Source organism: Homo sapiens, chromosome 4, assembly GCF_000001405.40.
Source record: "Homo sapiens chromosome 4, GRCh38.p14 Primary Assembly".
NCBI classification, from domain to species: domain Eukaryota; kingdom Metazoa; phylum Chordata; class Mammalia; order Primates; family Hominidae; genus Homo; species Homo sapiens.
Window position 1 is genome coordinate 102532901 of NC_000004.12, and position 26231 is coordinate 102559131.

Below are 26231 nucleotides of genomic sequence, written 5' to 3' on the forward strand. Positions count from 1 at the left end.
CAGCTGGGAAGCTTAAGGACTTTTTCATATTGAACAGTTTGTACTTATGTTGTCAGAGATTCTGATTTTCCTTTGAATTTTCAAGTCAGATACCATTAGGGTATGGATTAAGCCTCTAGTTTTCTTTGCGTTTTTACAATAACTAATTTGCATGTACCTATCTTCAATTAAATTATTTTCAGTATTTTATAAAATGCCTGAGATGTTTTAGAACACAGTTTATATGATAGCACAATATTCAAAATTGCTTATAAACATCAAAAGTTATGGATTAATATGAAAATTTTACCATGTCTGATAGACCAGATTACATTGGGAGTGTCGGGGAGGAAAGGGGAAACAAACTAACCAGTTAAGGAATGAAGGCAGTACTTTCCCTTCAAGTAAAGACGGGAACAGAAAACCTAGTGTAAGGAAAAAGAGATAGCCTGAGATCATTATCTGTCTATCAGACGTATACATACAGGTTGCTAGATCAGTATCTTTTAATTTCACATTAAGCACACTCTCTTTGAGGAAGGAAAGTCAGTGTCTAATGATGTGAAGGCCAAAGAAAATGTCATAGTGCCCAGAAGTGGTTGCTGCTTTTAATTGGTATTTGTCATTTTAAAATGCTTTGTTAGGAGACAAGATTATGAAGGCTGTTGACATCAATTCTTGCCGGCCATATGCCTTTTATTGGGTTAGGAAATGTGCCATCACCTTTCAACAAACATTTACTTATTGTGGTTCGCTAAACTCGTAAAACTATTGTTAAAATAAGGGTTAATTTAATATTTCAGACAAGGAAGAGAAATTATATCCTTGTGGAATTTTAACCAAAAATTGATTTGAAATTTCTACATAAAAACATAATTTCAGTTTTTTACTTGCTTTACGTTTTATACCAAATTTGAGAAGCCTCACAGTTTCTTTTGGTTTCTGTTTGTTGTTTTTGTTTTTAGCAGATGGCCCATACCTTCAAATATTAGAGCAACCTAAACAGGTAAGATTAAAGGGGTGGGACTTTAAATGTTAGATTCCAGTGTCTAATATTGAGATCATAAGCACTGAAGAATAGTAAATGAGTTCTATGAAGGAAGTAGTTTATCTGAAAGATCAACAACCTGACAAATTATGTAACAGCTTTATTCATTCACTTTACATTTCTCTTACTCATTGTTCACACTGTCCTGAGCCTCAGTATGTAGTTCTGTAAAACTGCAGTTAATTACAGTATTAGAATTACAGTTAATTACAGTATTCTGCTGTCTCTACCAGCTTAACTTACCAGCCACTCCCAGGAAAGGCAGAGGTGATTTCCATTCATTTTCATTTATAAGGAAATACGTATGCATACAGTTCACATGCACTGAGCGATATCCATCTATTATCCTTGCACATGTAGTACCTCTTAGCCTTCCTCCTTCCTTTGGTAGCCCCAGCCTTTTCTGTGCTGCCTTTGGAACATGTAACCTAACATACTGAAAGTACCAGTGGGAAGTAAAATGTTAGAATGAACTATTGAATTCTCTTCCCTCTGGTGTCAGCCTCTTTGGAGTCAGGAGAGGAACATTTTTTCAGGTGCTTCCCCTTACCACTAGAGTCTGTAGAGAATAGCTCAGAACTGAAATGGCCTCCTCACTGTATCCAACTCTGTGGATATTTATAGGAAATTGGATGGGACCAATGCTGTGAAAGAGAAAGAAAGGCAATCTTTAATGTCTGCCTATAGGAGGTTTCAGTTATTAGGGAATGGAAATAATGGTGTAGTTCCCCACAGAATGAGGACAGTCAGTAAATCTTTGGATGGATAAACTAATCACATTTGTGTGTGACTGAGGATATGGATACCTGTCCTCTTGCAGCTGTATTACCCAATACATTTTCTAAGTATTCTTTTCATTAGCTCAGGTGAGTGAAACACTTTTGCATTTTGTAACATTTAACACATGCTAACTAGGTCACAAGCTTAAATAAAGCATCCACTGCGTTGTGGTTTCCAGAATCGTGACATTATATATGTGTTATATTTGGTCAGCATTTGATATAAATGTCTTAATGATTGCTGAACAGGCTATCCTTATAAGGTTGAAATTAGATGAAAGTTTTTGCTGTGGGGGCAAGAATGCCACATGAAACTTTGGGGCATGGTTCTAGTTCTTGCAGGTGTCACATCCTGACTCCTCAGGTTGCCAGTAACACTCCATTGCTCTACCTCCATGTTCAACTCTTTTAAGCAGTTATTTCTCAGAGAAGGTCATCAATTCCCAGTGAAATTTTATCCCTTAAAGTTCTGTGGGCTCTGGCATCCTGGAAAATTTCCCAGCTTTTAAGATCTAGGTAGTCTATGAAACAGAAATCAACTGAAATTTGTCTGCATATGCCAAAGTATTTTTTCCAATATCATTTTCATAAGCATAGCACTACAATAAGAATTTTTAAATGTAATTCCTTATTATGGATCCAACAGTTATAAGGAAAAATTGGCATTTATGATTTACCTGAAGGGTTAATGTAGTTCCAAAATTCAAAATTTAATTCATATAAAAGCTTATGTGAGTAAAACAATGTGTTTACCAAAGTGATGCTATTTTGATATCTGAATTCAGTGAAAGTAAGAAGGTTGTATTCAAGTCAGACTTTCTGACTGAATGGATGTAGCCTTGCCTTTGAGGTTGATGACTCATTTTAAGCAAATGGAGTTACTGAGATGAGTGAATGTGGATTAAAGGCAAAATTTTGATCTCAGAAATTTAGAATCAGAAATGCATCCAGACAATGCATTTGACGACATCTTCCTGAAAACAGTTGTAAATTTTCATCCTCAGATTAAAAACTTCTGAGGATTTAGATACTCGTATGTAACCATGAAAAATATCTATTAAGTATTGTCTATTTGACACCACTCCCAATAAGATATAAACACATACGTGTCTATATTTTTCCAACTGTCCCAAAGGAATTTTGTGATTAAAGATAATGAATTGTGTGTGTGTGGTTTTGGGGTTTTTTTTGTTTTTTTTTTTTAAGTTAGAAAAAGATTCTTTTTTCTTTGGGACCTCTTAGCCACAGATTTTCCCCAGCTCTGACGGAGATGAGTCATAGCATAGACTACTAATTTTTAGAACATCCAGTTCTGTTGCATATTAATCAGTGTTAATTAACTAATACTGTTCAAAAACTCAAGTTGTGTTTAAATTAGCAGTCAAGTAAATCTCTATTCTTATGGTTAGCTAATTCTGCAGGCTATTATACATGTGTTGTTTTTTTCATGGTTTTAGAAATTTCATTTAATTATTTAAAAAACCAACAGTGTTTGCTTACAAAAGGCATAGGGCTGAAATTGTAAATTATTTTTAAATATGAATTGTGTGAGAATCAAAACAAAGGAATTACCTCTGAAACTTCATCTCCAAAGGCTTCCCTTGTGTTTAGATCTGGAATCTCCCAAGGAATTGTTTTAGGTCTCACTGTGATGAGTTGATCATAAACTTTAGACATTTGTGTGCATTAAGGAAATTTCCCAGACCGGGGAATTTACTTTAGGCCTTACTTATCTGGTAAATGTGTTTGAGGACTGATCTTTGGAAATCAGGAAGTTTTTGGATAATATAGGAACAGTTCCAGATGCTTCCCAGAGATTTAAATCAGTTCAAGGCACCTGGACTGCTCAGAGACTGCAAGACCCTACTTGGCATAATGAAATGTAGTATAGTCTAAGTAGTGCATACGTTTTACATTTGTTCATGAGCTCAAAGCTGTCAAAATCTGCATGTTTGCTGGGGTTCCACAATTTAATGAGTAAGGGAGTGAACCCCCACCAGCAGCTAGTGGGTGTGATGAGCTGATGGGCAGATGATCTAGTGCTGTATATGCAGAGTTGGTCCCACAATAGAAACAAAAGGTGAGAATGTTCCTTAAAAAATCTTAACGTATTTTCTTTTCACCAAAAAGTGAATCTGTAAAAAGAAAATCATCTGCTTAAGCGACTATGTGGTTATAAACTACTAACACTACCACAAATTGATTGACATCATTATAAAGTTGAATCAGGAAATACAGCGAAACCTCCCTTAATATGATGATGAGGTCATAATTATCCTTGTTTTATTCTTTGTATACAAATATGAATAAGTTAACTTTATAAATCATAAAAAGTTAGAACTGGAGTAGACCTTAAAGATGGTCTGGTATAATCTTCCCTTTTGTACAAATGAAAAAATATGACACTTCTTAGGTGTTTATCAGCCCACAGTAGTTTATATAGTGAAGGCTTCCAGCTAACTTCATTAATTAACTATATCTATAAAATTTCTGGGTTAGATAGTATTTAAGGGAACTACCTAGTTTTGGAATCATTCTGGTAGGTTAATATTCAATCTTGAGCTTGACCATATTAATAATCATAAAAACAAAAATCTTATCCTCTGAAATGCTGAGAGAAGCTTAACAGATGCAGGGTCTAGCACAGGGTGTGTTCTACAACGCTGAAACAGTATATCTAAATAAACATGTCTGTAGTCCCTGCTGAACCAGCTGTAATCAGAGTAGATAAAGGAATGTCTTTAAGTAAGAGTCAAGGAAGCATAACTTTTATTAATATGGTACAGTTCAGAGCTTGGCAGCAGCAATTTAAGACAAGGAAGCTCTGACTAGAACAAGCCGTAACATGTTAAGTCTAAAGCCTAAACTCTTCAGCAGATTACTCTCCACACATGCATAGCATGAGAGGTTCCATGGGCTTAGGTACCTGGCTTTTTAGCCATATCTTAGTGTACAAATATCAATTAATACCATTTTTCGTAGTAAGATTACGGGAAAAGTGATTCTTGTTTACGGAGCCCTCTTTCACAGTTTCATGTTTTTCTTCTCTCATTTAGTAGACATAAGATTTAAAAATTTGTATGTACCTTTGTTGCCGTAATTTTTAATAAGTATTTCTCAAACTTAATTGGCTTAACGTTCACCTTTGCAGAGAGGATTTCGTTTCCGTTATGTATGTGAAGGCCCATCCCATGGTGGACTACCTGGTGCCTCTAGTGAAAAGAACAAGAAGTCTTACCCTCAGGTCAAAGTAAGTTTGTGGTAGCTCTCCTTCTATTTGAATTCTGGAAATTTTGATTTCCTACGATTTCCAAGGAATTGCTTTAAATGAGTACGGGTTGCCTTCGCTCCTAAGCTGAAGTGTTCACATGATTATTAAAATTTTTAAATAGAAATTTGTCTCCTAGCAATAGAAGTGACAGATACTAAAACTTTGTTAACATTTCAATTTAGTAGAAATGTCTTCAGCATTAGCTAACAAACTTACTATTTCTTGATCATCTTAAATATTTTTAAAAATTGGATACTTCCTGAAACTTTAGTAAGTCTTTGAAAGAAATGGTTGATTTTGACTCTTTGGAGATTTAGTGAAAAACCAAACAAGTGACTGAGTGTATGGATTATATAGTATATTATTTAAGATTATGAATTTGGATCCAGACTTTGTTATTAGCTGTGTAGCTTTGAATAGGTTTAACCAATACTTCTAAACTTCAGTCTCTTAATGTATAAAATACAAAAATATTAATAGTATATACTTCATAAGGTCCTTTAGAGATTAAATGAGAAAATGTGTACATGTTCCATAGAGAGCCTGAAAGTACCCTAGGGCCTTGGCCTGAGCAGATGTGTGGCCCTCTTGGAATGAACTGCTACGTGACATGCTGGTGGTGTATTTGGTCATACCTTTTACCATGTTCAGGCTGTTTGTTTATTTGAGAATATTTTTCTTTAAGTTAATATGAGACTTTTAATTTCATAATATGCTATGTTTCATAGACTGACTGATGATAAACATAGACTGGTAATCATTTTGCAGATAAACGCAGTCAACAATTGTAATTTAGTTTTTTATAAAAGTTATTATTTAGTCAGTAATTCAAGGCTTGGACAAAATAGTTCTCACTATGTGTGTGTGCCCCTCAGGGTGTAACATACTTTTGGACTCAGTCTTTTTATTGGTTTGTTTTTGTAAGTAGATGAAGCTCAGTAGAGCAGGCCCTCAGCAAAGTTGTGATGTAAAGAAATCTGGCCGGGCTCGTTGACTCATGTCTGTAATCCCAGCACTTTGGGAGGCCGAGGCTAGCAGATCACAAGGTCAGGAGTTCGAGACCAGCCTGGCCAATATGGTGAAACCCCATCTCTACTAAAAATACAAAAATTAGCTGGGTGTGGTGGTGTACACCTGTAGTCCCAGCTAGTCAGGAGGCTGAGGCACAAGAATCGCTTGAACCTGGGAAGCGGAGGTTGCAGTGAGCCGAGACTGTGCCACTGGACTCCATCCTGGACAACAGAGCGAGACTCTGTCTCAAAAAAAAAAAAAAAAAAAAAGAAAGAAATCAGTCTTTGGTTTTGCCAGCCTTGCATTTTGTTTCTTCCTTTTCCTCTTATCCATCTTCTAGGCCCAGGCCTGTTAAATTTCTTATCCTTATTCCCAAACAAAAGACAAAATGTTGTGACGTCGTTCTTTACCTTTCAAGTGAAACTCACCCATTATTTAGTATGGGTACTACTAGTCATAGTTGCATTTTAAGTCTCTTAGCTCCAATTGTGGAATGAAAGATGTTTTTTCTATTAAAGGTAATTAGGCGGGTAAATATGATGGCTTAAGTCCACAGAAGCAGACCACGGTCTTATGGCCTCACATCCTTTAGAACCTTGATGAGGAATGAGGAGCAGCAATAAAGAACTAATTTGCACTTATTAAACACCAAAGACTTGCCAAGTGGTTTGTATAACATTATCTCTTTTAATCTCTTAGAAATCTCAGTAGGTAAAAAGTGCAATGCCTGTGAACCCAAACAGACTCAGAGAATGGAATTATAATAACTGGCCTTTCTCACAAGACTAGTGGCTCTATATCCTGCAGCAGGCTATTGCTCACCGAACCTCTCAGATATAATGTGTGCATTTGGGGTACTGGGGGCAGGGAGATAAGGGACAAATTATGGGCAGACAATGGTGTAAAAAGGCATGGTGAATGATAACTCTTGAAAACAAGGGAGAGAGAGGCTCACTGGTCAATGGGTACTCAGGTATTGGGGAAGCCAGGCCCAGCACTTACCTTTTTAACACATGTGTCTGTGTGTCACATGTATAAATATTGTGCCTTTATGTATGTGTATATTTGTGAGAAGGGGATTGAAAGACACATGTTATCAGCATTGACACTGACTATAATGACTGAAGAATTAACTTTAAGCGAAAAACTGGGAGTTTTTTCTGACTGGCTTGGCACAAAAAATATAAATTATGGTATTTTGTTTACTTCTATTGCTCTAGTATTTTGTGACTAAGTAACAATTCTTGATACTAACAAACACATGGCATTAACTTTCTTATAAATTTATTGGCTAAGAAAAAACTTTATACATCCATTTATTCCCAGTCTTCATACATCTTTCTCATGTAGAGGTTTCATCTACTCAAAAACATATTGCTGCCTCAGTCACAAAATAATTTACAAATGAAACAACTTAGTGGGCATTAGATGTTCTTGTAGAATGAAAGTTTCTATATCAAGGAGTTTAGTACTTACTGGGAAATATAGATATGTAAACGACTAATAATAAAGCAGGTTCAACTACAGTCACATTATTTCACCAAATCATTTATTTTTTATTCACTAATTCAGTATCCATTTATAAGCATTTAATCAACTTGTAAGAGGAGGAGGAACTTAGAGGTTAGAGAATATGACTATACAAGCTGTCATTGTTCCCTTAGCTTGTCATTGTTCACTGAAAATTGAAATGGTTCTGCTGTTCCTAACAGTTATAGGAAGTAATTTTATTTATCCAAGAAATTCTTAATTGGAAGGATGGGTAGGAGAGAAAGAAAGAGACAACGGCCAGGTATTTTTTTTTTCCAGAGCTCTTCTCCAAATATCCCTTTTAATAGTTATTTCTGCTCAGGATGACCTTTAAGTTTACAAAGGAATTTTAAATCCCCTTTCCCTCTAATGTTTAAGCAGAGGAAAAAATTGTTCTCCATGCATCTTTCTAATCAGGAAGACCTTTAAAATTGTGCATGTCTTTTCTGTGGTACTTTACTAAGCACCTGCTCGGCGAGAGACTGTAAGGGAAACAGTGGGATAGATACATCTAAAGTTTCTCAAACTTGGCATTATTGACATTTGGGGCTTGAAAATTCTGTGTTGTGGGAGGCTGTCTGACACGTTATAAAATATTTAGCAGCCTCCCTGACCTTGACTCACTAGATGCTAATAGGATTCCTATAATTGTGACATCCAAAAAGTCTCCACATTGACAAATGTCCCCTGGGGGGCAAAATCACCCCTCTTTGAGAACCACTGATGTGGATGCAACAAAGAATCAACCTTAACCTTACCCATTTGCATACTTTTCTACTATAAAGTTGTCTCGCATAGATTACGTAGAATTGTCCAAGTGTATTATTTTATAAACGTGCCTTTCTTGGTTATTAGTAGATATTTCTTATTTTCAAGATGGTGATCATGGTGTCTGTATAATTTCTGTTAGAATATCAGAGTTAGTGTACCTGGATACTAAGGAGAAAGATAGAAAAGATAAAATATGTATCTTCAACATTTTGTATTCTGTGATGACCCTAAAAGCTAATGTGGGAGTTCTATTGACTGTTATAAACTATTACAGAAGAAAAAGTGAAAGTGGAGAGTTAGGTCCACTGTGTGTGAACAATGGGAGGGTCTATGGAATGATGCTTTCAGGTAGGCAGAGGCCTCGTGGAGGGTGGCCCCACACTCACCCCCAGAATCCAGAAGCCATTCCCACAGGAACTTCAGAGGGAGAGCATTTACATTTACAGGAAAGAAATGATACTTCTGAGCCTACATTTGCCACATATTCATTAAGTGCATTTGTTCAGGCATTACAGTAAAATGCCATGGGCTGTGCTTTTCCTCAGCTACAGCCTCTCTCCTTCCAACCTCACACCCTGTCTTCCTGTCATGCCTTTGTGAGAGCGCCACCACTCTGCGGTGCCTGGAGAGGAACCTGGAAACGCTGATAGTTCAGTGCATACTCGGTCATATGGAGACAGCAGGAAAGAGTCAGGGGCCAACTTGAAAGATTTGGGGCCTGGCTGTGGTTTGCAGGCTGTAGACACCAAACTATACTTTATAGAACATGTGAAAATATAGCCTGTATGGGTTACTCTCTTACTGATTGTCTAGATTTGATGCCTTACATTAAATCATTTTAAAACCAACTCTAGAAGTCTACTCAAATCCTGCATTTTCTACTGGAATAGTGTCCCATGCATAAAACCCTGTTTCGCATAGGTGTAGGCTAGCTTACAGACCCTCTTACCATGTTGAGATTATTTCTAGAACTCAGGCTACTGAACCATCTGGTGCTCTGCCTGTGTCTTTCACATAGCTAAGAAGAAAATTTCCATTTAGCTTTCTGATATCTTGCTGTGCAAGTCTTCATGCTCTTTTTTTAAAAAAAATTTTAATTATAAATTCTTTCAAGCATATAGAAAGTTTAAAAATTGACATAACAGACACTATGTACTACAACACAAATTTAATAGGTATTAGCATCTTACCTTATTTGCTTTTGATAGCTCTCTCTCTCTCTCTCTGTCCTCTCTCTCTCTCAAATAAAATAGTTACAGCTAAAACCCCACTTATCCATCACTTTGTCCTCCTTCCTTCTCTTAGGTAAGCTGCTACTCTGAACTTTCACTCCCCAAGATGTTTTTATATTTTTACTACATAAGAATGCATCTATAAATACTGGCATTTTCAAGAAAGTTAATTTTTACTAACTTCAACCCAAATTTGCCATTGTATAGGATGGCTCCTTTTCAGGGCAAACATAGGTTCAAACTGGACGCCATTGAAGATTAACTGGTACTCACTTTGATCCTATTGATTCCTCTTTGCTGTCTAGATAAAAATGTATTTGTCACAATGTAGTTTGTACTAACTCTTATAGCAAAAAATAATATTCAGAGAAAAATCTAGGGGAAGTAAGTATGCAGACTAACTCTTATATCTTGTCCTTTCATAAGAAAAATTTCCCATCATTAAACATTTAATAATCTATTATACTGCCTATAAAATTTCCCTTTAAAGTTTTTTCCATTCTAATTTCATCACGGAGCTCCTAATAGGAGAGGCTGGCAGAAAAGCACAGGAACCTTCCTCTAGGCCAAGCTTGTCCCTGCCTGCTTTTGACTCAGCAAGGAGTGCCAGGGAAGGCTCACTTCCCTATTTTTCCCGAAAGCCACGCGTGAAGTTTTAAAAATCAAACTGTGTTCCCTTTCACAGAGGTGGGTGACAAGAGAAGCAGCCCCATGGGACTTCAGAAACTCTCACCAATCCTCCTCTAGAGTGACCAGAAAGTACCCCTTCCTATCCTAACTAATGTGACACGTCCTTCTGTGTGGTCCACTCTATGCAAAACCAGAAATTGACAAGAATGACTTTGATTGTAAAGTACAAATAGCTTACCAGTTAGTATTCTTAGTTTCTCTTTAGTTATAAATATCAAATGCAAGGGACTTGAAACCCAGCTGATAGAAGTGTAACTATTTTTAATCAAACATTTTCTGAAAGCTGGTTCTCACATATGTTGTCTTTCCTGAGTGTTTTATGTTGAGTGGAAGACGTGTTGAAATGTTTAGGTCAACAACAGCTTTTTTGTTGTCCCCTTCCACTACTGATTTAAAAAAAAAAAAAAAAGGCTCCACTCTTCGTGCCTTTCCTTAAAAATCCTAAATGTTAAGTTTCTGTCGAGGTCGAATAGAGACTACCCGATCTGCTGTGGCATTTGAGGATATCACATATCCTTGCATAATCTCCCTTTCCTTTGTATAGACTTGTCTGATTCACGTGGTTTGGATCTATTTGGAGTACTAATTTAAAATAATTTAACCTGACTCAATTACTTAAAACAACAGGGGAGAAAATCACCAATAATCAGCTATGTGTGCGTATAGAACCTAGTTCATATCATTTATTAGGATTTCCATTGAACCCCTAAGCTGTTCACTGCGCAAGTATTTAATTAGGGAAAATAACCATACCCCTATGTACATTATACTGTGTGTTTTGTAAACCATGAGAAAAGCTGCTTATTGAACAGAAGGGCTTTGTAACCTGGGGTCTATGGATCCCTGTTGGTGGTTTCAGACGCTTTTTAGATTCCTAAATTTATATGCAGACTTACACATGTATGTATGTGCATTTTTTCTTGGGAGATGAGTATAACTTTTTATCATATTTTCAAAGGGAAAGATTTAACATGGTTAAGAATCATGCTATAGCTTGTATCACTTTAGCTTTTTGATAGCAGCTATCTTTTTAAATGATCTATGTAATATTTTTTAAGATTTTTTCTTTTTTTATTCTTGCATTTTTAATCAATTTTAAATGAAGTGAAATGCTTTATGTTGCTCAACACATAGCCCAGAAAGCCTCCCTTCAGTTTTCCAGTAGGTGGAAAAAAGATGAAACTGAATTGATGGCCAAAAGAGTTGAATGGGCTTCACTGCTTTTTCTTTCTTGCTCTTCCATGCATTTGCAGATTAAGCATGAAGCTCACCATTAGTGATTGAAGCCAAAAGAGAGAAGGCAATTCATTGAACAAATATTGATTGAGCACTGTGTGTCAGGTACTGCTCTAGACAAGCAGACAAAACTCCCTCCCATATGTAACCACAATTGAGACTTATAGGTAATTTTTGTTGCAAGTAGTTCAGAAGTTTTGTATTTTGTCCTAAAACAAAATATTACTTTGTAAAATATTTTTTTAAATAGCCCTCTAAATCCGCTGTATATATTCAAAGTCACTATTATAAAGTGGAGAAAGCTACTCATTAGAGAAAACCTATCACACAGATAATAGCTGGGAAGCTTAACCCTTAGAAATTATTAGGAGAGATATACACTCCTTGAATTTAAGAACTGTCTGAATTTTAAATTTTGTTTTGTCAGTTCTGGCTTGGTGACCTTCCTCTATTGGCCATTCCCATTTTTCTGCCCTCCACTCTTCCTTGACACATGATTATTTCTGGGACCACTGTTCAATCCGAAACAAATCTCTGGTGGCTTCTTTTAAACCCAGTGGTCTCAGTCTGAAGGTATAGTGGGGCAACTCTCGGCATTCCATTCTGGAGTCTTGACCTCATAAAGTCACATATTGGCAATTCGCCTTGATAAGGTCAAGTGAACACACAGAAGCACTAAGATCCCCACATGTGTTCCACTGCCTCCTCCACAGACAAGTTGTTTTTCAACCCATCTGCAGGTCCAGAGGTGAAGCTGGAGGCTACCCTGCAGTCTCAGTCTTTTCTCCCCACCCTCCAGATGGATTCCAAATAAGAAGCCTCCAGACTACCTTCACCTCCCTGGGGTCTCATGGACATGGGCTGGAAAGTGCTTGCAGACTTTCACAGACAATGCTTTTTGCCTTTAGGTCCCCTTCTACCCAACAGAATGATTATAATAATGGCTTGATGTGCTTACTTACATCATCTCATTTAATCATCACAGTAATCCACTGATGCAGGTTCTGTGATCCGCATTTTATAAATGAGGAAATTGAAGCCTAGAGAAATTAAGAAGCTTAACTTGGGTCTCACAGGCTTTTAGAGATGGAGCCCAAGATTTCAGTTCATGCCATATGGTTTAAGGGCCTGCACTCTTAACCATTGTGGAATACCATTCATTATCATAATGTTAAGGATCTGTTTCTACTTTGCAGGAATCTTTTAAATCTATGGTTCACAATCATGGGTGGGCTTCAGAATCGTCCAAAAATGTTTCAACCACAGAGACGCCTGGGAACCACTGCACAATTGCTAAATCACAGTGCATCATCTAGCCAATCTTGGATTCTACAATAATTCTATGACAGTTTCTAAGAATACATGCCATTATATAATGGCAACATATTACAACAGATAATTGAATAGATATTCAATGTATACCGTGGAATAGAATATTATGCCACTGTGTTTTAAAAAGATAATTAAGAGGATACGGCACAACGTGGAAAACTGCTTATAACATAATATTAAGGATAAACCTCAGCTGGGCATAGTGGCTCACGCCTATAATCCCAACACTTTTGGGAGGCCAAGGCAGGAGGATTGCTTGAGCCCAGGATTTTGAGGCCAGCATGGGCAACATAGTGAGACCCTGTCTCTATAAAAAAAATTTTTTAAAGAAAAAAAACAGGATTTCAAATTATTGCTAATATTTGTAGTGATTACAAATATTAGCTTCTTTTTATAAAGCCTGGGTGGAAGCATATAGATGTATCTTTAGCTTTATTTATTCATCCATGACTTAAAGAAGATTGGTTAACACCTGACTCCACCTTGAGTAGCAGAACATTGGACTGAAGGAAAAAAAAAAATGTGAAGCTGTCTTACTTAGCTACAGTTTCCAGCATGTTTTCTCAGGAGCTCTATGGGAGACAGTGCAGTGTGGCTCTCAAACCTTACTACCCATAAAAATCTGCTTCAAAACCTACTTAAAATATCGATTTTATTCCATTTCCAAAGCCTGGTAGAGTAGGTAATTCTCCCACTACAATACACTTAGTAACACTAGAAAAAAAATATAACATTTTCTTTAATGCATAGCTGAGTTTATTAGAAAGTATGAAAACTACTGGGGCGCCGTAAGACAAAAGAAAACTTTGGGAAAACACAATAGGATATGGGTGGACTTTGGGGCCACAGCTGCCCTGGAAATATTTGCTGACCTAGATAATCAAGAAGCTTGGTTTTTAACAGCTTCCTAGAGACAAAAGATAAGGCCTTGGGCCTTTCCAATCTGAGGAATTGAAACTGCAATCACCCACTTAATTCAGGACTCTCTCAGGGCTATAGTTTCTGTTGATGGGTGATCCTCAGGCAGAGAGGTGATGAGGAAGTTGCCTGTCTCAGCCTAGGGGGAATCAGAAGATAAAATGCCTCTCTTGAGAATCAATAACTACAAGCCCAATTCTTACAGATTCAGAGTTAAGTGTATGCTCCCTGAATAGAGTAGGAAACCCCAAGTCTAGAAATGAATATGAAGTTGTTCCACATTGGGGATACCCTCAGAGCCTTGCAGAAAAGCATAAAAATGTATGTGGCTCAAAGAATCATGAGCTCCTGATCAAAAATTAGAAAATATGTATGCAAATAAGCCACTCTGTTTAAGAACTGGCAGAACAATGAAAAGCAGAATTAAATCCTCAGAATCTTCAGATAATTGAATTACCAATTGTTTGATATATAAATACAAAATAAGTTTGGAATAGAAAACAGACCAGGCAGAATGAAAATAAAACCAAGTCGAATTTTTAAAATTAAATGTGCGACACTGAAAATGATTCAACATAGTTAACATGGATAATTTGAAAGAAAGGATGAGCTGGCAGGTACAAAAGAAGGAGTAAGAGGTGTCTAGTTGAAGTCCTAGAAAGAGGTATTACAACTGCAGATTTCTGGCTCTACATTTACAGTTTCTAGGTCTGGGGTGAGGTTTAGGTGGTTGTGGACCACACTTTTAGGTTTTAAAGCATTGGCTCTGAAGTCATTTGGTTCAGGGCTGGGCATGATGTTGGTTCCTAGTTTTGCGACTTGCAGTGTTACTTAACTTGGCTAAGCATCAGCTTCCTTATCTATGAAACTGAAAAAATAATACCTATGTCATAGGATATATGTGTAAATCAAGTTATTCAGTACATGCCACACAGTAAGCACTTAAAAATGACAGTTGCTTCTATTTTTATATAACCAAATACACTACTACAAATATTGAGTGGCAGCTTTGCTGGTTCATTTATGGATTCATGGAGCTACACAAAACCTTCACCAGTCTATTAATTTATTTTTAGTACAGTCTCTCTAATCAGTATTGCTTCCACTGTATATTGACCCCATATCCTTTCTTCTGTCTGGGGTTAAGATAGGAGACTGAGATCAGCTGTGTCAAAAGCTTTCTTTTAGATGTAACACATGATTTCTTATGAAAATCTCATAGGTAGGATACCAGAAAGGAATTTATTAAATTCTTGTTAGGCTCCTTAGTTGTATTAGTTTTGTAGGGCAGTGTTTTAATTTAGGATACTTATGATAGAGAGCACCCCTTCCATAATCAGGAGAAACACAAGATGGAAATAAAGATTTTATTACTTAGTGGTCCTGGGGAGCACACAGCACTCCAGGGAAGGCCACACACCAAGATCAGGGAGCATGTGGAGAAAGAGAGAGAAAGGAACTCACGGGCCATTGCCTTTACTGGGTCCAGGACATTATCCAAACAGGTTTCCCACAGGGAGTTTTAATAGGTGGGTTTCAAGCAAGCAGGTATGAGTTCCAGGAGGTCACAGTGTGATGAAGAAGAAGTCACTGTGGCATATCTGCACAGTCCATGCGAGGTGTGAGCATCAGTGAAGACCAGTCAGGTAGGCTATATGTAGCTGGCCCATGGGGAGGCGATCACCAGGTGGCAATTGTATAATGCAGATATCTAGATTGGCCACATAGAGGAACCGGGAGGAGGTGTAGTACTGGAAACTGCGTCGACGGTCACTGAGCCCTGCTTTAGGTATGAGAAAGTCCAGCTTATATTCAGAATGGATGCAAAGGCAGCATAAAATTAAAAGCATTCACTGCCAGCTGCCATAACAAGTTACCACAAACTAGGTGGTTTAAAGCAACCGAAATTTATTCTTTCACAGTTCTGGATGCTAGAAGTCCAATATCATGGTCTTCGCAGGGCCGTGCCCCCTTTGAAGGCTCTAGGCAATAATCCTTCCTTGCCTGTTTCTAGCTTCTTGTGGTTGCTGACAATTCATGGCAGTTTGTGACTTGCAGCTGCATCATTCCAATTTCTGTCTCCATCTTCACATGAATACTGTCTTCTCTCTGCGTCCCTGTGTCCAAATCTCCCTCTTCTTTCTCTTAGAGACCTGTCATTGTGTTTACGGCATCCATAACCCTATGTGACCTCATCTTAACTAATCATAATTGCAACGACCCCATTTCCAGATAATACAATATTCTGAGGCTCTGGGTAGATGTGAATTCTGGGGGTACACCATTCAGCCCACTACAAACATATTGTGGCATTGAGGTTATAAGCCAGTAGCCCTACGAGTATAGGATGATGCCCATTTCAGCCTGATAATACACTCCGAAAGAGATCACATGGTAACATTGTTGCCTCAGTTAATCATAGAAATACTCAATTAGTATAGAAATAACAAGAAAAATGCTTTGTTATTCTCATGTGTCATTTATCGAGTTCTTACTATGTATCTGTTATTGTTATCCTTATACACTTCTGCACAAAAGATGGTTTTATCCCAAGTTTTAGCTTAGAAACTGAGGCTTAATGAGTAACTTGACCAAGAATGGCTTCTCTTTCTCCATTTCCTTCCTCTCATGGTGTTGTTTTATATACATAAAATAATATATATTATTCTATTAATATAGATTAATATATGTATTTATATATGTACATTTTATATATGTATAAAACTTATGTTGTAAGTTTTATATACATATAATATATATTCTGTTTATATATTGAATTTATATATATATAAAACTTAACACTATTAAGTCTTAACACTATTAAGTTTCATGGTGTTGAGTTATATAGTTCTATTAATTATATATATATGGGGGGAGGGGTGTTTCTCCAGCCTAGACTTCCACTTTGAAATGTAGTCTCCAGGCTCAGCCACTTGTTTGACATTGCCACTTGGATGTCTGGTAGACTTAACATATTCACAACTGAATTTCAAATCTTCCCCACCAATCTGCTCTGCCTCATAGCTTCCCCTTTCCGGAATGTGGTTGCTCCATCCTTCCAGTTGTACAGGCCCCAAATCTTGGAGTTTTCCTTGACTCCTCTCTTCTTCTCAAATCCCACATGTAATCCATCAGGTAGTCTTATTGGCTGTGCCTTCACACTTTTTTCAGAAACTAATTATTCTTCAGCACCTCCAATGCTGCCACCCTGGTATAAGCTACCATCCTCAGCATCTTTCTTCCAGTGGATTTTAGCATCCATGAATGATTATTTCCTAAATCAATTATCAATAATTGTTATAAATTTGTGATTTTTCTATTTCTATCCTTCCTGTCACTTTTCCTGGTTTTTTTAAAAGAGCTTTCTTCATTCTTCTTTAAAAAAAATTAAAATTAGCATCAGTATGAACTCGTGGATTCTTTTGTTATTCATTGTACTATAAGCCATTCCTGTCATTATTCATTTTGATTCTTAAATTGTCCTATTCTTGGCCAGTGGGAGTCTTTCATGCTAGCTCCTATGTCTTTTTGATATGTCCCTATCTTTTTTTTCCTAACACTTTCCTTATTTCTGAAATTGTAAGCTATTCTAGGTTCACCCTATACCTTCACTACCCCAGTCCAGGCATCGTCTGTCTCTCTAAGAAGTCCTAGTTCCTTTTAGCAGGAGAAGTTTTTCTAGACTCTTTCATTAGGCAGAGCTACAAAATTGATTATTTTAAAAATCTCGAGTTCATACACTAATTCATAATTCTAATTCCAATCCAACACTGCAGGCTTCTTCCCTCCCTCCCCTCATCCCATACTTGTATTTGGATTTGAGATATGAAATGTGTATCTCATATCCCATATTTCTTCAGTAACTGAAAACCCTCATCATCAATGATAGCAGCATGCTTACTCATTTTGCTCAGTCCAATAATTCACACACATTTGTAGAAAAATAGAATAGTTTTAGAATGGCTATACCAATATCTGCAAGCTTACTATATTCGGTTCAAAATTTCTTTGTAGTTCTTTTGACCAAATGTATTCAACAGAGAGCATTCAGTCAGAGTAATGTGTACAAAAGTTACTTGGATTAGATTTTTTCCTTCTGTGTATTTATGTTTCCATTGAGCTATAGAGTTAAGCTATTTTTTTATTTCTATTCCATTTTAGGGGTTTTCCCATCCCTGTTGATTTAGTAATTTTATTTTTTGAATATCAACATTTGTCAGTTTCACATCTTTCATTTATATGAGATTAACTAGACCCTTTAGAAATCATTATAAAGTCAGGTTGTTCTATTAATTTTTAAAATAGGTGTATAAAAACCAAAGGGATCAATCAGAGCCTTGATTTAAAGTACGTTCTGAATTATTTCAGACACCCGAATCCATCTAAACCCAGAACATTTCATTTGTAGATTTCAAAGACTTCTTGGCCTTCCTACCTTCCTTACATTTATGTAGCATGTGTTTATCCAAGGCACACCACCTGCCAGGCACAGTGCTGGGCTCTGTGTTGACACACATGAATGTGATCATCTTTCTGTAGCCCCCAGGTTACATGGCACCACAGCCAAGATACAGACATGTGTGAGAGAGTAATCAGGGTATTACTCAGGATTTGCTGGAGGAATCCCTCTTCAAAGGATATTCTAAATTGGTGTGTGTGTGTGTGTGTGTGCGCGCGCGCATGTGTGTGTGTGTGTGTGTTGAGGTGGACTGGGAGAAAATATACCCTCCTTGAGATCACCTCCTGGCTAGATAGTCTCTCCCTTCTCTGTTTGTGATAGAATGCAAGTGGAATTTGACAGGTGTACTTCTCAAACTAGAAACTAGAGAGCTGCTATCTCAGTCACCGTAAGAAGAACGAATCACACCAAACCTACATCATTGTCTTCTATGACAGGATTTCTACAAGGGTGAGATAGTGAGATGCTGGAGATCCCTGTTTTGGTAGTTCAGGGATTCACAGCATCTCCCATGCTGGTGATGTCAACCTGAAGAGATATTTCTAGTGATAGGTTCCAGGGATCTTTCACCAAACACTTTAATATATTTTATCATTGTCCTGAATACAGCCCTATAAGGTTCTTACTAAATTTGCAGGTGACATGAAGTGATAGACAACAAACAATTTGAATTCAAATTAATTTTGAAAGCTGAGACAATGGACCCAATTCTTCAGCAATTATATTTAAAAGATATAAATACATGCAGAAAACAAATTACAAGTACAGAGTGGAAGAGAGATGATTTAGCAGCAACGCATGCAAAGAGATCTAGGAGTTTTAGTTAATAACAGACTCAACATGAACCAGCAATGCAATGTGACTACGAAACAAGTAATTCCTCATTAGGCTGCATTAATGGAAACACGATACATAAGACCAAGGAAGTGGTGGTCTCATTTGCACTCTGTGATGAAAGGCCACACCAGGAATACAGTGTAGTACTGCTGGGCACCACATTTGTAGAGAAATAGAAACCAACTTGAGTGTCTTCAGAGCAGAATGGTGAGAGAACTCAAACTTCATTCAAATGAGGAGTAGTTACTGAGCCTGAGAAATTTATAGCCTGGAGGATTTGGTTGTCTTCAAATATATGAATGGCTGTGATGGGGAAAAAAGGATTAAATGTGTCCTGTTGTCACAAGAGGATGAAATAAGGAGCGGTGAATGGAAGCCCCAGGCGATAGAGGTTTCAGTTGCTGCTGACAGTCAGGGCTGTCTGAGGATGGAATGTATTGCCTCAGGACAAAGTGAGTTCATTGTCACTGAATTGGTTCAAAAATGACCAGGAAGACTACAGGGCAGGGAAGCTAACTTGTATTACAATAAGTAATTTTTTTCTTTTTTATTTGTATGCCCTTAGAAAGATGTTTACTTAACTTGATAAATCTGTAACAAGGGATAATCAAGATTTGGTTATAGGACAATTACAATTTTCTGACAGATCCCCCAAAATAATAGAAATTAATAGCTTACACACTACTTTATCCAAGCTGTAGAATGTATAACTTACTTCATATACTTTGTGTTTAGTCAGTTTATACAGGCTGAACAACATAAAGTTAAGACATAAAAGGGTTTTTTTTGCAGGTTTAAAGTACTACCATTTTTCCAAATTACTGGCTGATCCTAGAACTTTGAGAAACTTTGGTGTTTCCCCCCTTCCTACTTTTGTTTACATCATAGTACGTAGATGGTACAATATTTTGGTTAACCTCAGTCTGACACTTAGATTGTGTTCTCTTTTGCCCTATTAATGTCTAGAGTGTAAAAAGACCAGTAAAGTAGCACCAAGAAATCAAAGAAAATTTCCCAGTTCTACTCACTTGTAATTCTCTTAATTTAGTAGGGGCTTTCCACAGGAAATCACAATAGAATAGTTGAAATGCTCTTTATCTTATGTACTTTCCTTCTGAAGAAAGGGACAGTTAATTGGCTTTGTTCCCAACATGGTCCAAATTTTTATACAGGGCAGCTGTATTTACTGTAGTACAAAGGAGATTCTACACCGAATGATGTCTCTAAGTATTTTCAATAATTAAGAACCTAATTGCTTCTCTAGCCAGTGGGTTTCAGTGAAAGTGATAAAATAGATTTTCTAAGCAAGAAAAATACATAATGAGGGTGGTTGTATACCTTTAAGAAAAAAGAAATCAGTGATATTCAATCCCAAGTAAATTTGGATATCACAGAGTCAGAGATATTCTTAATTATTTTAAATTAAATTTGAGTCAAAAACAATGTGTTTAAAGACTTTAAAATCATTTTAAAAGAATGTTAGAAATTTACATTAATAATTTCTATTTTCAATGAATAAATGAGAAACCTAGAATTTTTGTTTTGGACACACTTTGATCATATCTAATGTGTTCTACTTCCTCTAATTATTTTTATGTTATTAGGATTTTTAAAAAATCTCTTAGATTAAAATTTCTCAGTGTATCTTTGTTTGCGTGTCTTTTTTTCTCTCTCCACTTATGTAATTGAAGCATTTCTGACATATCCTCAGAACACACAGATTCTTATCAGGACTTAACTACCCAGGGCAGGGCCCTCCTTGGATTTACTGAAAATAAACACTTTGGGTACTCAGTCTCAGTTTTAATGACAAAAGTTGAAATCTTTGCCTAACATGAAGGTTTTTCTTTGTCTCTAAATTTTGATTTTCCATGCTATCAGAGGTCCCATTGCAACAGGTAATTTGAGTGTTGATTGTATGTTTTCTCAGTTTGTAATTGTGGTGAAATGTATTTAAAATGTTCACAATTTTAAAGTTAAGTTTACCTATAAGGTTCTTTCCAACTCAGAAATTCTGTGATGGTAAACTTTTTTTTTGTAGTTTGAAAATGTGATCTTTGGATGTTGTCTTCTGTGTCCTATGCATATGACTAGGAATCATAGAATTTTAGAGCTGGAAAATGAGTGAGACATTATCTAGTGATTCTGCAAATGAAGAATTAAAAGGCCCAAAGAGGTTAGGTGACTCACGCAGTATCATAGCAGTACCTGGTGACTAGAACTCTGGCCACCTACTGCAGCACTAAAAATTAACCCAAATGTTTTTATCTGAAAATTTGCAGACTTCAGGCTAGGCCTGTAAATAAATAAATAAGAAGTTAAAACATATTTGAGAAAGGTAAGCTTAATATGCCACATTTGGGAAAAGATGTGCCTGACACAAATGTATTTGGTGTAATAGAGAACATTCTTCCATTATACCGAAATGAAAATTTTGAACATTCTCAAAATTCTTGAATTTTGAGACATTTATGTTAAGCACAGTTTATTCAGACTCTCTATAAACTGTGCTGTCATCCCTGTTGTTTTCTCCAAGCGGAATCATACTTAAATTACAACTTTAGGGAGTTTAATGTTTCCTATTTTTGCACTCCTGGGATATTTTTCAGTGACTCAGAAGCATAAACTGACACTGTGAAGTTAAGGCTGTGTTCCAGTGGGAATGACAGCATGTCTCTAGGACGCTGATGGAGAAAGCCCTCCTCATGCAGCTGTCTTGCGGAGTCTCCCTGCTGGTGGTGAATGTGAGATCACACAGGGCCAGCAGCCAGGGCAGTACATCTCTGAGTCTCGCTTCTGGTTTTACCTAGAGCCAACCCTTGGTGATTGTTTGCCTCCTTGGCCAAGCCCCCACACAATAGGAAAACTGTGTCTCAAGGTCGAATTCTATTAATACCTGAGAGGTGAATTTATAAACATTTAAGATGTTTTAGCATCTCTGCAGCCAGTGTCTCTGTAAATGAAAATTGCTTCTCGAAGTAGAAAAGCATAAGGGAGTACAAGGGCTTCAAAAAATAATCCTTTTAGGAATAAGAATATTGCCAGGGTTAGGTGTTCCTAACTGGTTTCAAGCAGAGGAGTTAGTAAAATTCCAAAAGTTAATCAGCTTCATGTACTCAACTTTTGCTAGGACTTTGCAGAAACTCCTCAGGGATCCCTCAGAGTTAGATTAGGGAGATGAACCCTGCCAAAGGACAGTAACCATTCAACAGCTGGATAGCCTGTTGGGCCCCACTGTCCTCAGCCTTTCCTAATGTTGCCTGGGAACACCACTTTTCTGCTCCCTCCTTTTTCAGTGTAGCCTGGAGACAATTATTTATTTATTCACTAGCTCTTTTAACAAATATTGATTAAGTAGGTACTGGTTCTGTTCTAGGGGTTGGAAAAACAGAGAAAATTAAATAGTGCCTTTGTCCTCAGGAAACAATCCATTTAATAGAGAGACGAAGATATGCCCTTAAATACCTGAATCACCAGCATAACCAGCACCTGCGGCTGCCATGTGGGAATTGTTGAACAAGATAATTTTTGAATGAAAGAGTAAATGACCTAATTGCTCTAATGTAAAGATAAATTTCTAAGAGTCGGCTAGTTGGGATGATTATAGAAGGATTCAAGGGAGAGATGTATGAAAGCATAGATCTAACGAGAGAAAACAGCACAGCAGAAAAAGCAGCAAAGGCTCAAAAGTAGAAATCTCTGAGATCGAATGGAGAATAGTAAATAATTTGCTGGAATGAAGAGCACGTGGAAGGCAAGGGTGGTAAGAAGGCTGGAGATAGTAGATAAGGCCAAATCATGCAAGGATTTAAACTGTATGTTTTTAGAAAATGGGTAAGCTATAGAAATTTTATATAGGAATGAGAAATTATCAGCAGCATTGTGCTTTAGGACTACAAATCTGGTAGCAATCTGCTAACTGATATTGGAAGGGAAAGGCCCAGAGACACTAGTTGGAAGAATTGCAGTGATTCTTCATGAGCTAAACTAAGAGTTCAAGCTAAGATAGATAAACTAAGGAATGAGAATGGAAGAAAGGGACAAACTGAGATTTTTGGGGTGGTACTCAGCTGAAGTTTGGCAACTGGTTAAACATAAAAGACAAGAGACAGAGAGGAATCCAAGATGAAAAGACGATTTTGCTGCACTTTTTTAGAAGGCAGCATTTGTATTTCCATTTCCAGGAGGTGGAGTAGCTTTGAGAAGAAAGGTGATTAGTTCAGTTTTGGGCACATTGAGCTGTAACGGTATTATGGACAGGAAGATACCCTACAAACAGCTGGAAATTTTGCACATGCTTAAAAAGAAGATGAGAACATGAGATTTCAATTTAGCCATCATCTGCATGGAGTAGACAATTCAATCCAGGAGACTTGATAAGAATGTCAAGGGAGTGATCACGATAAAGGTGAGAAATGGACTGAGCATCGATCTCTGCTGAAACATCTCTTTGAGCAGGAAGAAGAGTGCCTTAGCAAAAGCAGCCAGTGAAATGGGGAGTTGGGGGAGACTTTCAAGGAGGGAATGGTAACATATCCCATTCCCAAAGAGGTCAAGTAGGGTTGAGGAATAATAAATGGCTAGTGGGTTTGGAAACATGGAATCTGTCATGACCTTTACACACTTTTTCATTTGATGGATCGGGGGATTACTTACATTTGCAAAGGGCCTCAGATTAAGTGGTAATGGTTCAGCATTAGTAATTAGAGATTTTCTTATGTACTTTGTAGGGAGAAATAGAATGGCATTCAAACAGGTTTAAGTTCCTCTTAAGAACCTTTCTCATTGGATTGTAGAGAAGAGCAAATGAAAGAATCGTTCAGTATTTCTTGGTATCATGCCCAGCCCATAGGTTTCAATTAATGTTAACCTTTACAGTTGTCATCATCATTATCCAGAAGGGGCTTTTTTTTAGAATAAGGAAGAAAAGCAGTGCTCATCTGTAGACAAGGGAAAAAATCCTTTGGAAGAGAGAAAGAGAAGGGTAATTCAAGAAGATCAGGAATAAACATTAAGGGTAAAAACAGAATGGTTAGCCCTGGAAAAGGGAACAAACATGTTTCTCTGAATTAGGAGAGGATATGTGAAGTAACAGGGATGTTTTGAGCCTCAGTGACAGTAAGGAGAAGAGAGAGTGAAGGAACTTGCACGCAGTGACTTCTACCTTCTCATTAAAGTCAAGAGAGAATCTCAACTGCAGATATCTGCTTAAGGTAGGAAGAGAGAAATAAGAATTGCTGTCATTTATTTTGTGGTTTTGATATAGCAAAAACTGTACTAGACACTTTACCTCCTTTAATCCTCAGAAAACTTAGAGATTATATATTTGTATTCACATTCTACAAATGAGAAAGCAAGTAAAAAAGTTAAGTAACTCTCCCAGAGTCCCCCAGATGGTCATGGGAGCCCAGATTCAGAGCCAGCTATGTCTTACTCCAAAGCCTGTGCTCTTTATTGAAACATACTCCACTAGTTTGAGATCTTGGAGGTGTACCCCTGCACTACTATCAGGACTACCCCTGATAAAGTCCTGTGGGGTAGTTGTTCCTATCCATCACCACAGTGAATATCAAAGAAGGGCCCTCTCATTTGAGGAATAACAGACAGTGAAATTGAGATGGACCAGAAATGCAAATCCTGGATCCCTGAGGGAAACAACAAAATGAAGCATAGAGGAAATATCTGAGTCTGGTGCCAAGACTCATCAGTACAAGAGAGAATGCCTAATGGGCAATAGCAGTTAGGGTGGGAAAAGAGAAGTACAAGGGGGTGTCTTGGAATTTGAGGGAAGAACTGCTGCCTTAGTTTTCGAAGGATGATTATTCGAGAGTTGCCCTCCCTTCACTTTCTCACAGCTGGCAGAATTCCTACCTCTTAGTGGTTAGATTCCTTTTTACCAGATACTGTAGGGCCAGTGCAGCAACCAGAGCCCCCAGCCAGAAACCCTGCCTCCAATTTAGACCAGTGTTCTGCTCTGGTGTGTAATAATCATATTCTAATTTAAATAGCCTATTGAGATGCTACATTGATATCTAGCCTTTTTTTTTTTTTTTTTTACTTTTAAGTTTTATGTGCAGGATGTGCAGGTTTGTTACATAGGTAGACGTGTCATGGGGGTTTGTTGTACTAATTATTTCATCACTCAGGTATTAAGCCTAATATCTGTTAGTTCTTTTTCCTGGTCCTGTCTGTCCTCCCACCCTCCACCCTTTGATAGGCCCCAGTGTGTGTTGTTTCCCTCTATGTGGCAATGTGTTCTCATCATTTAGCTCCCACTTATAAGTGAGAATATGCAGTATCTGTAATAATGGGTTTTCTGTTCTCGTGTTAGTTTGCTAAGGATAATGACCTCCAGCTCCATCCATGTCCCTGCAAAGGACATGATCTTGTTCTTTTTCATTTCTGCATAGTATTCAATTGGCCATTTTTTAAAAGACAAAATAACAAAAAAAAGAGTACAGTTATCTCCACTCCTCACCCACTACCTGCCACCTAACCCAACCCTTTATATTTTAGTAATTGCCTTCCATAAATAACATTTTATCCTGTCTTAATTATGCATTCATTAGTGTATTAATTATTGAATGCCCACAATATGACAAGCATTATTTCAAGCACTGAGGATACAGCAGAGAATAAATCAATATCCTCACTGTTTTTATTCCATTTTTTTAAGAGACAGGGTCTCACCCTGTTGCCCAGGCTGGAGTGCAGTGGTGCGATCATAGCCCAATGCCACCTTGAACTTCTGGGCTCAAAGGACACTCCTACCTCAGTCTCCCAAGTAGCCGGAACTACAGGTGCACACTACCACACCCAGCTTCCCCACTCTGAGCCTCCATCCTAATGGAGAAGAGAGGCAGTAATCAAAATACATGAAATGTGTAGTTATTAGATGGTTATTAATGTATAGAGAAAAATTAAGCAGAGAAAGGAGCAAGGGATTAGGGGGTCAAAGTTTTGGTAGGGGTAGAGTGGTCAGTGAAGGCCACCTTGAGAGATGGCAATTATGTAAAGCCTGAAAGCAGGTAAGAAATATACAGGTATACAGATGTCCCTGGAAAGAGTGTTCTAGGCAGAAGAAATAGAAAGTGCCAAAGCTAAGATTGCTCACCTGGCAAGTTCAAGAACAGTGAGA

General features: G+C 37.4%; 1 protein-coding gene across 12 annotated transcripts in view; it reads left to right on the top strand.

The window, feature by feature from the left end:
• Window positions 1-26231, top strand: part of NFKB1 (nuclear factor kappa B subunit 1) — a 115944-nt gene that overhangs the window by 31542 nt on the left and 58171 nt on the right. For 6 of the 12 annotated variants that reach the window (NM_001382626.1, XM_024454069.2, NM_003998.4 and 3 more), the window contains 2 exons: window positions 945-985; window positions 4958-5056. The exons of 1 other annotated variant lie outside the window; for it this stretch is intronic. In NM_001382626.1, the coding sequence (NP_001369555.1) occupies window positions 945-985; window positions 4958-5056 (140 nt within the window). The remainder of the gene's footprint in view (window positions 1-944; window positions 986-4957; window positions 5057-26231) is intronic. 5 more of the 12 variants (NM_001382627.1, NM_001165412.2, NM_001382628.1 and 2 more) reach the window with 2 other exon arrangements.